General features: G+C 45.5%; 1 long non-coding RNA gene across 1 annotated transcript in view; it reads right to left on the reverse strand.

The window, feature by feature from the left end:
• The window catches only part of LOC105372093 (uncharacterized), a 176501-nt gene that overhangs the window by 146341 nt on the left and 17565 nt on the right, over positions 1-12595 (reverse strand). The gene's annotated exons all lie outside the window — the stretch shown is intronic.

Raw genomic sequence — 12595 nt, forward strand, 5'->3', positions numbered from 1 at the left:
ATTGGCAGGCCCATCCCCTTGGGTATCCTCTCAACTATCCATTATTCTTTCAACTCCTGGATGAGAATGAATAACTGAGGACAGTTGTTCAGGACATGCTCCTAACACTTTGAGATCAATATCCCAAGAGCCACTTCTATGCATTCCCAGACAGGCCCTGGGCACCACCATCAGGGCTGACCCTGGGCCACAGCATGCCTCAGGGGTCAGCTCTCTAGGACCAGCCACTTGTCAGAATGTTATCCCCTGAGGCTGAAGCCACAGCCATGCTTGTCTCTTCCACAGAAGCACTTCTCTTCCACACCCTTTCACCACAGTTGGCAGATTTGAAAGAAAATATGGTAAGATGAGAAATTTACTTCAACAAGTTTGAATGATAAGTTTCAAAGCAGCCCTAAAAGGAAACTAAAGAAGCCATAGTGGGGTCTCCCTATTGAAGTGCCCTCTGTCATAACAAAACTTCTCCTACCTATGGTTTCAAGGTAAATTCAAATAAATTCTCCAGAGGGATCTGGGCATTCTATGTCTTCTTTTATCTGGGGTAGAAACGACAGGTTGTGAGGCTCTTATGCTAAGGACACTCTATACCTTTAGGAGCTAAAGGGGCCAACTTGCCTGTTACCCATGATACAGGATTAGCACGGAATATGTCAAGATCAAAGCTAAGTTTTACAAGAAACCAGGAATTTCTAAGGAGGCTTCTTATTAACAATTTTGCAAGAATATTTTTGTGGTTAGTAAACATAAGATAAGATTTCAGGCACAGGACTGTTTTCAGCCTTTCTCCTTATGTAACTAGTTCCTTCCAAAAGGCTTCACTCTTTAGTTTCATCTTCTTCTTTAATCTGCATTGACAACTCCCAGACCATTAGGAGGGCTTATAGCTTCAAGGCTGTAGAGTGCCACTGGCTAAAGCAATCAGCAATGCAGATCCTGAAGGAATTTAAGGCTTAATAAATGAATATAGTAAATAATAGACTTTTAAAGAATGAAATATAAGTATAGCTGCTTTCACAGCTCTTAAACTATAAAGTAGATGCAGTAAATCAGATCAGACATGTGCAAAGTCACCTAAAAGAGAAAATTGCTCCCAGGACTGACCTAATCTTATTTAATATTAACCTGGTAGGTGTGAACATATCTAAAGCAAGCTTAGGTCCACCTGATGGGGTAGCAAGTCAACCACTGAGGCTCAGGAAGAGGAAAACCTAGGAAGGGGGTCTTCAATATTGGAACTTGGGGTGGGACAGGTGTCAAGGGTGAGCTCTGTGGCGGAAATGGCACTGGGGTATTATGGTTTAGTAAACTGAACTATATAGACCAAGCAACTAATGCTCCTTGTCCAATCCTGTACTCACAAGCTATTTGGCTTCCTATGTAGACTTGTCTTACAGGGTAAAAACACATGTGTCCACACTGAGGAAGGGAGGTTTAGGCAGAGATCTAAGGAATAGGCAGGAGGTGGAGGAAGGTGGAGTGTGGAGGGAACAGTACCCTTGGCAAAGGGAAACTTGTGGATAAAGGCCTTGAAACAAGGAGATTGGTGCTTTCAAGGAGTGAGAAGATTGCTGTGGCTGGATTATGGTGAATGAAAGGGTGCTGGAGTGAATTCAGCAAGCCAACTGGGAGGCCATTGCAGTAGTGCAGGAGAGAAGTGATGGTGGCTTGGACTTCAGTGGTGATGGAGAGACGTTCATGGATATGAGAGACAGGAGGCAGAATCACCAGAACTCTGTGATGAGTTGATTTGCAGGGTGAGGGAGGGGGAGGTGTCAAGGATGGCTTCCTGATTTGTAGCTTGGGCTACAAGGTGAATGGTGGTGCCACACCATCGATGGAGCACTGAAGGATCACTTCTCCTCTCATGCTGCACACTCTTCCTCGCCAATCCCATCCTTCTCATGCTTCAATCCAGAGCTTATCTTCAACTCCCTACAGGGACTGTTCCAAAAGCACTTCCTCAAACTCAACATATCCAGGACAAAACTCATCTTCTTCAACTATTCTTCTCTCCCTCCCATGTTGACTCATGGAGAAAGGTAGCACCTTCCACCCGAATGGGAAAGCCAGAAACAGGATGCCATCCTTGACCTCATTCTCTCACCTCCAGGAAATAGTTAGCCAAGGGCTGAGGGTTCCACCTCCTTGATAGCCCCCATTCATCCATTTATTGAATGACTGTTTACTACATAACAGGAACTGTGACTACAATAGTGAACCAGACGGCCATAGTCTCTTCCCTCACAAAAACTTTATGAGGTGAACTGACAAGTAAAGGAGTAATATAATATAGTGCAGTGATGATAATGAGTAAGAGACAACCAGTTAACAAGTTTGAGGGAAGAGTATGCCAGTGACCTCTTTCTTCTAAAAAACGAAGACAGTAATATATCATTAAGTACCAGGCATCCATAACAGTTAGGATGCCTTTGCCTGCAAGTAACAAAATACCTGACAGAAAGTGGTTAAAACAACAGGAATTTCATTCCTAAAAGTAGGAAGTTCCAGATTTTGTGCTCAATGATGTCACCAAGGGGTGCAATTTCTTTCCATCTTCCTCATCATTCTCAGCATCCTCAGAAGGCTCCACTTTCATCCTAGAGCTTGTAGCCTCATTGTTACAACATGGCTGCCCTGGTTACAAACATCACAACCACATCAAGAAGAAGGGGGGCAAATAGAGTTGCAAGAGGGCCATTCTCTCATGTTTCTCTTCTTTATCAGGGAGGGAAGTCTTTCTTAGAAGCTCCTCTAAAATAATTTCACTTGTGTCTTTTTGGCAGAACTGGGTTGTATGGCCATTCATGGCTGCCTAAAAAATCTGAGAAAGTAGGCATCTGGTATGTAGCTTCTCTTGTAACAGGTGAACTCTGCCATATTGGAGCAAAAGCAAGAGGAATGGCAATTGGACAGGCAGCCAACATGGCTGCTACAGTGGTATATAGTACCACCATATAGCATGTAGTTCCTATGTGCCCACACAAGAGAGAGACATAGTGATAGGTTAGACTGTCTATTGTGAGATTCACAAAGGGGTTTGGAACAGAAATCTAGACCAAGACCTTTTACACAAGAGATTCTTTGTGGAATACTTGCTGGAATATTCCCAGAGTATTTTGGGATACCCCAGACTCATACAAGGTTGTATAACCTCTAACTAACAAGATTCTAAGCAAAGGATGAGACGTGATCATGCTCAGGTAACGAAAACTTAGGGTCAATTCATGTTCTAATTAGTTCTCTTGATCTAACAGTTACGGCTTATAAATCATTCCATGTCGGAAGCCCCACCGGAAATAGTTGAGGTTCAATTCAGTTACAGCTCAATGAAGTCTGAAAACAAGTGTCCAACATTTTCTGGTTCATGGTTTAAAATAGGTTTCAAATAAACAATGAGGAAGCCAGTTTCCTGTTTGGGTTGGGTCCATTGGATCCTAGCCCATCAAAGCTTTGAATTATATTACAATGACAGGCAAGGACTAGAGGGGGAAGAACTGAAACGCAGAGAAAAGTTGGCACAGTGCCAGGAAACCTGGCTAAAATTAAGTCCCTCAGTCCAAAGAAAACAATGGCAGCTAGGACATGAGTCAATGGTCCAAGTGCAAGTGCATTTGGGGGCAACAAGAGCACACACAGGCAGGCCATGGAACTGGCCAACCCAACAAGAAGGTCTTTCCACATTCTGAGATCCCCCCTAATGCTGGCCTCTCAATGAGAGGGTAGATCTGTACTATTGAATACAGTAGCCACTATCCATGGTGCAGCACTTGCAGTGCAGCTGGTCCAAATTGAGATGTGTTCTACATGTAAATTGCACACTGGGTTCCCAACACTTATAACAAAAAAGGAAAAAATATCTCAATAATTGTCTATATTAAATTTTGAAATGACAATAAAATATATTGTTAAAATTAATTTCACCTTTTTAAATACATTTTTAAGATGGCCACTTTTGAAAATCCAAAATTATACAAATAACTTGCATTTGTGGCTCACATTGTATCCCTATTCAACAGCACTGGGCTAGACAGTTCCCCAGCCCAGGATTCTTAGTGGTTTACAAAGTCTCCATAGCAACTTAGATGGCACTGAGCTGTTGGAACTCAAACTTCTGGAGAATTCATTCATTCCTCCCTCAGAAATAATGCATGGAAATGAAGCCTTTCTTCTGTCACGTTGTGGAGACAGAGCTTACTGATTCTGGGGTCTCTATATCAAATTCATCAGTTCAAAGATTCCTAATGTCAATTTAAGGTAAAACTGTGTACTTTTCCAGGAGGGCTAAATGCTGTGCACCCTGAGGATGTCATTTCTTAAAATAATCATAACATGGCTACAGAGTGAGGAGACTGGTTTTCCTGCATGTGATATTAAGTTATTCTGAAGGCAGTACCTAAAGAACAGCCTCAGAAACACTTGGCCCTCAGACAGCACTACTGGGACAAACAGGCTGCCTCTCCACGTGTCCATGTGCAGGATAACTCTAACCTGAATGTACAAGTGCTCATCAGTCATAAGCTATGAAAAAAGTGAAGTACCTGGACATAAGGCAATAGGGAATAGTGGGGACTGTAGCCAATTGAAGATTGCATGCTCTCGCCTAAAAGTATTCGCATTCAGTTTTTTTAACACTATGCTAACCAAACAAAGCACATTTGGGAGATGGATTTCTTTCGTGGGCTCCTTTTTGCAAGTTCTATTTCCAGGCAGCTGTTATGAATGCGCTACAATGTTTCACAACCAGGGGAATTTATCAGAATTATGCCTAAGGGCCTTTGAAAAACTTCAGTTATTCCCATCTCTTCTCAGACCTCCTGAATCTGAATTTCTAAAGTTTCGGGGGACCTGCCCCGAAAATCACGTAGGTTCTTTTCTATTTTCCTAAGTGTCGGCTGGCTTGAGAAATAAAGGGACAGAGTACAAAAGAGAGAAATTTTAATTTCTGGGCGTCCGGGGGAGACATCACACGTTGGTAGGATCCATGATGCCCCACAAGCCACAAAACCAAGCAAGTTTTTATTAGGGATTTTCAAAAGGGGAGGGAGTGTGCGAATAGGTGTGGGTGACAGACATCAAGTACCTAACAGGGTAATAGAATATCACAAGGCAAGTGGAGGCAGGGCGAGATCAAAGGACCACAGGACCGAGGTGAAATTAAAATTGCTAATGGAGTTTCGGGCACCATTGTCATTGATAACATCTCATCAGGAGACAGGGTTTTGAGATCAACCGGTCTGACCAAAATTTATTAGGCGGGAATTTCGTCTTCCTAATAAGCCTGGGAGCGCTATGGGAGACTGGAGTCTATCTCACCTCTGCAATCTCGACCATAAGAGACAGGTACGCCCCAGGAGGGCCAGTTCAGAGACCTACCCCTAGGTGCGCATTCTCTTTCTCAGGGACGTTCCATGCTGAGAAAAAGAATTCAGCGATATTTCTCCCATTTGCTTTTGAAAGAAGAGAAATATGGCTCTGTTCTGCCTGGCTCACTGGCAGTCAGAGTTTAAGTTTATCTCTCATATTCCCTGAACAATTGCTGTTATCCTGTTCTTTTTTCAAGGTGCCCACATTTCATATTGCTCAAACACACATGCTGTACAATTTGTGCAGTTAATGCAATTATTGCAGGGTCCTGAGGCAACATACATCCTCCTCAGCTGATAGGATTAAGAGATTAAAGTAAAGACAGGCATAGGAAATCACAAGGGTATTGATTGGGGAAGTGATAAATGTCCATGAAATCTTTACAATTTATGTTTAGAGATTGCAGTAAAGACAGGCATAAGAAATTATAAAAGTATTAATTTGGGGAACTAATAAATGTCCATAAAATCTTCACAATCCACGTTCTTCTGTCATGGCTTCAGCTGGTCCCTCTGTTTGGGGTCTCTGACTTCCCGCAACACTAAAGGTACTACAGATGATTCGAAAAGTGAAAGGAAAATAAATCTCGAGACCCCAAAATCATTAAGCCAAAGGGAAAAGTTAAGCTGGGAACTGGGTCACGCAAAACTGCCTCCCCTTTGGTTCCTAAATTGGATGGCTACAAGATGAAAAGCTACACACTGCCCTCATATTTTGCCCACAGGGAAATCCCTAGTGAACTCCAAGATCTTTAAAGTGTTTCTGTTAAAATTCACCATGGTGCCCAGGCACAGTGGCTCACGCCTGTAATCCCAGGACTTTGGGAGGCCAAGGTGGGCGGATCATGAGGTCAGGAGATTGAGACCATCCTGGCTAACACGGTGAAACCCCTTCTCTACTAAAACTACAAAAAATTAGCCGGGTGTGGTGGCAGGTGCCTGTAGTCCCAGCTACTCGGGAGGCTGAGACAGGAGAATCACTTGAACCTGGGAGGGGGAGGTTGCAGTGAGCCAAGATCGCACCACTGCACTCCAGCCTGGGTGACAGAGCGAGACTCTGTCTCAACAGAAAAAAAAAAAAATTAACTATGGCAATGTAAATGATAACTTATCTTTACAGGTGCAATCACCCCTCTTCCCACCTGATACAAATGCATATCTGATTATTCCCACCCACCCACCCCCCACCGCCCCATTTGTCTGTTAATCTTATGTAAAAGTGCAGATTCCTTGCATTTCCCCTGTCCCATGTGGCCATGTTACATAAAAATGCAGATTCACTGAGCTAGACAAAGACATGAATATTTTCTCCCTACCCACCTCTTGCATGAAAATTGTGTACTTCTCACTATCCTGCCCTTTCCTCTTTAAATCTGGAGCCCTCAAAATCATCTTCAGAGAAAAGCATAGACCTGTCGCCCAGATGTGCATCCTTAACTTTGGCAAATAAACCTCCTAAAATGATTGAGACTTGTCTCATCATTTTTCTCTATTGACATAATGGGCCCTCCTACATAAAAGCCACTGCACATTCAGAAAATTCAGAGTACCCTGGAGGCTGGAGTAGATGAGGATGGCTTCCTGGAGGAGGTGTGAAGGTGTGACTCTGGCCTCATTCTGACACATTCCCTCCCTGGCTCACCTAGACTTGGCTTTAGGAGCTCATCTGGGCTCCCCCTGGACTCCCAACCACGCCCTTTCCAGAACCACTTCTAGAGACCAAGGAAATGATGCTCTTACCAAGGGGCCATGTTGTGGTGGGGCCTAAGATTCATAGTTCAGGCAGTGTATAGAGAAGGTGGCCAGAGCAGAAGGGAGTGGCCATGGCACAGAATCTATTTTCTTTAAATGCTCAAAGCTTACATATGTCAAGTCAGCCTATAATAGCCATCTCTTCCCATTTTGATCCCACCCCACCTTGACACAGCCAAGGCAATGTCATGGCATTTCTCTTAATCACCCTCATGGTCTGCTGTGTGCTTACTCCTTTTCAACTGTAAGGATGACCTAGAAATATATAACCATATTTTATATAAATACAGAACTGCCTAAAGAAGCAGCTAATATTGTGATTCCCCTGGCCCTGCCCCCACCACTTCCTGCCTCCAACTCCCCACCCACCATGTGAGGAAAGCTTATGCTTCTCTTCCTTTCTCCTGGGGACCTCCTTTCACTGCCACACCAGTCCCACTTGTCCCACCTCTGCCCTACACATTCCTCATGGACAGCGCCCATCACCTGCCGCTCTGCCCCTCACTGCCAATCACAGGGCCCTGCAAGCTCCAAGCCACACGGCCAATGGTAGCCTAAGGACCCCCTTCCTGCACACCTCGAATTGACCACCACTGTCTGCTCATCCTAGGAACCTCCAAATTCAGGCCCTTTCAACCCTCAGGACTCCAGATTATTCTTCCCTATACCCACATCTAGGACTGACCCACTGCTGATTCACACCAGTGCAGACATTCAAATTATTAAAATATTCAGTTCTTTTGCACACTTTGTGGTAAGTAGCCACTGCCCTGAGCCCTGTCACTTGAGTCTCTCTATGACCTTCAGGAATTTCTCCACAATCCAGCAACTAAAGGGTTAACACAAAGCACAGCTGTGAGTTCCAGCAATCGTTCTGATTGGTCAGTCCCCTTGCCTTACCAGGTGATTAAGGTTTTAAATTTCACTGTGGCACCACACGGCAGATAAATTTTGTATGCCTAATGCTGGTTGTAATTTAATGCAAATAATCATTTCTTTTGAGGCTGCAAGATGGGGTCTAAGGACTCTGGACTCAGCGTGAGGTGCATGAGGGCATGCAAACACCTGGCATCAGGATCGTGCAGTCACACCCACATCAAGCCAACATCTGCATAATGCAACTGAGAAGCAGCAAAGCTGGTCCCCTAAGATGCCTTCACCAGCAGCCCACCACGGAGCCCAACATTTCTCCACTCATTCCCTGAATTTTCAGTGAGAGAAGCAACACAATAAGATCTCAGATAGCAACATCCTAATTGAATTAGTTTTACCTGGTCTCTTCCCAGTTTCTTCCTGCCTAATAGCAAGAGAAAGTCCTGGCCAGTGCAGTGGCTCACGCCTGTAATCCCAGCACTTGAGTGCTGGGATGGATCACTTGAGGTCAGGAGTTTGAGACCAGCCTGGCCAACATGGCAAAACCCCGTCTCTACTAAAAATACATAATTAGCCGGGCATGGTGGTGGGCACCTGTAATCCCAGTTACTCAGGAGGCTCAGGCAGGACAATTGCTTGAACCTGGGAGGCAGAGGCTGCAGTGATCCAAGATCACACCCCTGCACTTTAGCCTGGGTGACAGAGAGAGACTCCGTCTCAAAAAAAATAAATAAATAAAATAAAATAAAAAAATAGAGAAAGTCCTATAGGAAAAAGACTCTAGAAAGATTAGTTTTCATGGGAAATCCAAGGAAGGTGGCCATCCAGAACTAGGGGAGTATCATGCAAAGGAAAGGAATGAGGCATAAGAGGGGTGTACAAGAGGAAACCCAGGACAATGCATCATTTAAAGTCGTGTTCCTCTGAACATATTGCAGTGAAGAGACAAGCCAGTCAGCAAGGATTTGACTCGTTAGTCAAATGAGGTGTGAGCCCAGGCTAAGAAGCAGCTTCCCTCCTCCATGCCATTTACGTGGTTACTTCCTCTTCTTGTAATCTTCAAATCCCAGCTTGCCTGCTCTAATGGCCATTTGTTGTTTTTGTCTTCCCCGCATGCTTCCCACCTTCTTCTAGTAACAGCGACTCCCCTTCCTTAAGGGATCTCCTCCTTCCCCATCCATGGGGTCCTCTGAGGCTGCTGGCCTCAATACCATAATCTCAAACACAGTGGAGTCAGTGACTCAGCTGTAATCAATCATAGTATCTCAATCCCCTGGCCATGGGGATTGGTCCAAGGGACAGCCACCTAACCCAAACTGAGGCAATAAGATTCTTCCCTGCAGGAATTTGAAATCTAAGTACACAGACATCCAGGATGAAGGGAAATCGAGGCTGGGTCTGAGAATAGTGCTCTAAGAGAAAGGCCATGAGATACCCAGAGCCATCCTGGTTTCTTTCCCTCCCAAGCCCAGGTTACTATTACCTTGATGTAATAACAACATTAACTATCCCCCAGCCCCATATCTTTCCAATAAACTGAATTGGTACTTAAGTTAGAATCTGTTTGTGTCATTTCAAACACAACCAAAATTGATACAGAATATTACAAGTGACATCTCTAGAAGATGGAATAGGCAGAGTCAAGAAGGGGCGGGGATCTGACAGTTCTTGCTACATGGTTAAATGATTAGCTGATACATATTGTGACCCAAACCGTATGTACCCATGGCTAAAGCATTAGAAAAGGCTTGGTAGGAAAATGTCAGGATATTAGAGAGCTCTGACTGATCACTTTAGCTTAGACTAAAGCAGGATGCATGGACATGTTGGGGTTGCCTCTTTCTGCCTTTAGCTAATGCTCCAAGAACCCGGGGGATGAACGATTGAGCTTCCTGCCTGTGCAGGTTATTAAGTTATTGTCTCCCAGTTCTAAGCCCACCCTTCTACACTTTGATCTGTGATGGCAGGGCTAAGACTCTGCAACCCACTGTTTTCTTTCTTTTTTTTTGAGATGGAGTCTCGCTCTGTTGCCCAGGCTGGAATGCAGTGGTGCAATCTCGGCTCACTGTAACCTCCGCCTCCCAGGCTCAAGTGATTCTCCTGCCTCAGCCTCCTGAGTAGCTGGGATGATTACAGGCAAGCACCACTATGCCCTGCTAATTTTTCATATTTTTAGTAGAGACAGGGTTTCACCTTGTTGGCCAGGCTGGTCTCAAACTCCTGACCTCAGGTGATCCACCAGCCTCGGCCTCCCAAAGTGCTGGGATTACAGGCATGAACCACCATGCCTGGCTTTTTTTTTTTTTTTTTTTTTTTAAGACAGAGTCTCACTCTGTTGCCAAGGCTGGAATGCATGGATGCGATCTCGGCTCACTGTAGCCTCCGCCTTCCCAGTTCAAGTGATTCTCCTGCCTCAGCCTCCCTAGTAGCTGGGATTACAGGTGTCCACCACATTTTTGTATTTTTAGTAGATACGGGTTTTCACCATGTTGGCCAGGCTGGTCTTGAACTCCTGACCTCAGGTCATCTGCCTGCTTCGGCCTCCCAAAGTGCTGAAATTACAGGCATGAGCCACCATGCCCAGCCCAACCCACTGTTTTCCTTTGCCTGTTGGATTCTGCCAATAGGATGAAATACAGAGAGAATGGAGGGAAGAGGGATTTGCCCCTTTCAGCAGTAGTTTCCAGCTCCTTGTCACTTTGCCACAACCTGACCCATCAGGCCCCCTTAAAGGGTGCAGCACCGCTAAGTCATTCATTCCTTCCTCAGTGAGTTCTGTCCCTGGCCCTAATTAAAATTAATGTCCTGACTAGGAAGTGACTACCCGGGAGGATTAAAAGAAATGGGCAAGTCTGATCCCAAGCACCTTCTATTATCAATGTTTTCTTTGCCAAAAAAAAAAAAAAAAATGCTAGCAATTCCTGGCCACAATTAAGTGTCACTCACTTGGGAAGAGCCTGGGGACAGAGGCCGTACTGACCTTATACCTATGCTAGAAGGACCCTATACTGACCCCTCAATGCTTTAAAATGTCCCAAACTGACCTCCCTCTAGCCATTCCTCTGCCCCTTCCCTATGGACAAGAAGCGCATGGGCCCAAGAGGATATGTCCACCTGGAGCCTGGGACTCTCTTCTGGACCATGCTCCAAGTGCCTAGGACAACAGAATGCCCTCCCCAGATGGCCTAGAGCTTGCTTTCTGGGCCCATGAGGCCCCCTTCCCTGAGTTCTCCTTCTAAAAGGGGATTGGGTTTCCAGGTTACACACCCCTTAGCCTGAGGTGCTACTAAGAGATGCTGATGGAGGCTGGGGGTGAATGGAGCTTGGACATGCCCACTGAGTTGTCCATATGCTTGCATAGGGCCCCACTAAGCAGAACAGAGTCCAGTGGAAAGAGAAGATGGGGTGGGCAAGGGACTTCTTTTTGTGTTCTTGCCCCAGCCTCACAAAGAGGCTCAGAGAGGGCCTCACAGGAAGTGAGTAAGTTCCAGGCCCTGGATCTAAAGCAAAGGCCAACAAGATCATTAAGCCGAGATCTAAGGAAATGAGCTAAGAGACAGAACTGCAAGGCTGGGCACAGATTCAACCAATGAAATGAGTGAGAGTTTTATGAGGCTGTATTGCCAGAGAAACCTTAAGCTGAACATATAGGTGCTTATGATTGTAAACCCCAAGCACCAGAACCCATGCCAGAAGGGAGCGGGCCTCAAGGCAGGGCCACCCCAGCAGCAAAATCTTCCCAGGTGCTCCTCAGGAGTGTCCAAGGTGAGCCCTGGATGGGAGACCCCAGCAACAGGGAAGCCATACTCACTGACCACAGACTCACCCACAACCAGGCCGTGAGTCAAGAAACATGTCTGCCTGCTTACTTACTATTCCTGACAAACAGGACATGCTGTACTCTGTGCCAGGGGCTGTCACCTCCTGTTCCCTTTCCCCTTTTTAAAAATGGAAGTTTTTATTATCTTGCTTCTCCCCCATCATGGTTTCTATATTGGGTGCATTGGGGTGACATGCTTATCTCTTTGCCAGATCCAATGGAGGGGAGAAGAGGTATCAGTAGCCATGGTTGTCTCCCGGGGGAAGGAGGTATGAACAATGCGGAGCTATTTTAAGCAGAGATATCTTTGAGATCGTGCACGTGTGAAGAAGGTTGCGTGTGAGTTAGGCAGCAAACTAGTGTTCCCTGTGCCCATCTCCCACCCCTGGCCCTTCTAGTCTCAGGCCTTGAACCCTTAACTGCAGAGGAAGGGCATGAGCCAGGCTGGAACAATCACTGCACTTTACCTCAACCACAGTGACTGACTCAGGGTGGTCTTATCACAGCAGCTGCCAATCTCAGTGCTTCTGGATGGAGCTGGTGGCAACGAATGCCTTTCTGTTTTTTGTTTGTTTGTTTGTTTGTTTGTTTTGAGATGGAGTCTCACTCACTCTGTCACCCAGACTGGAGTGCAGTGGGGTGATCTCAGCTCACTGCAACCTCCGCCTCCCAGGTTCAAGCAATTCCCTTGCCTCAGCTTCCTGAGTAGCTGGGATTACAGGTGTGCGCCACCACACCCGCCTAATTTTTGTATTTTCAGTAGAGATGGGGTTTCACCATATTGGCC

Source organism: Homo sapiens, chromosome 18, assembly GCF_000001405.40.
Source record: "Homo sapiens chromosome 18, GRCh38.p14 Primary Assembly".
NCBI lineage: Eukaryota > Metazoa > Chordata > Mammalia > Primates > Hominidae > Homo > Homo sapiens.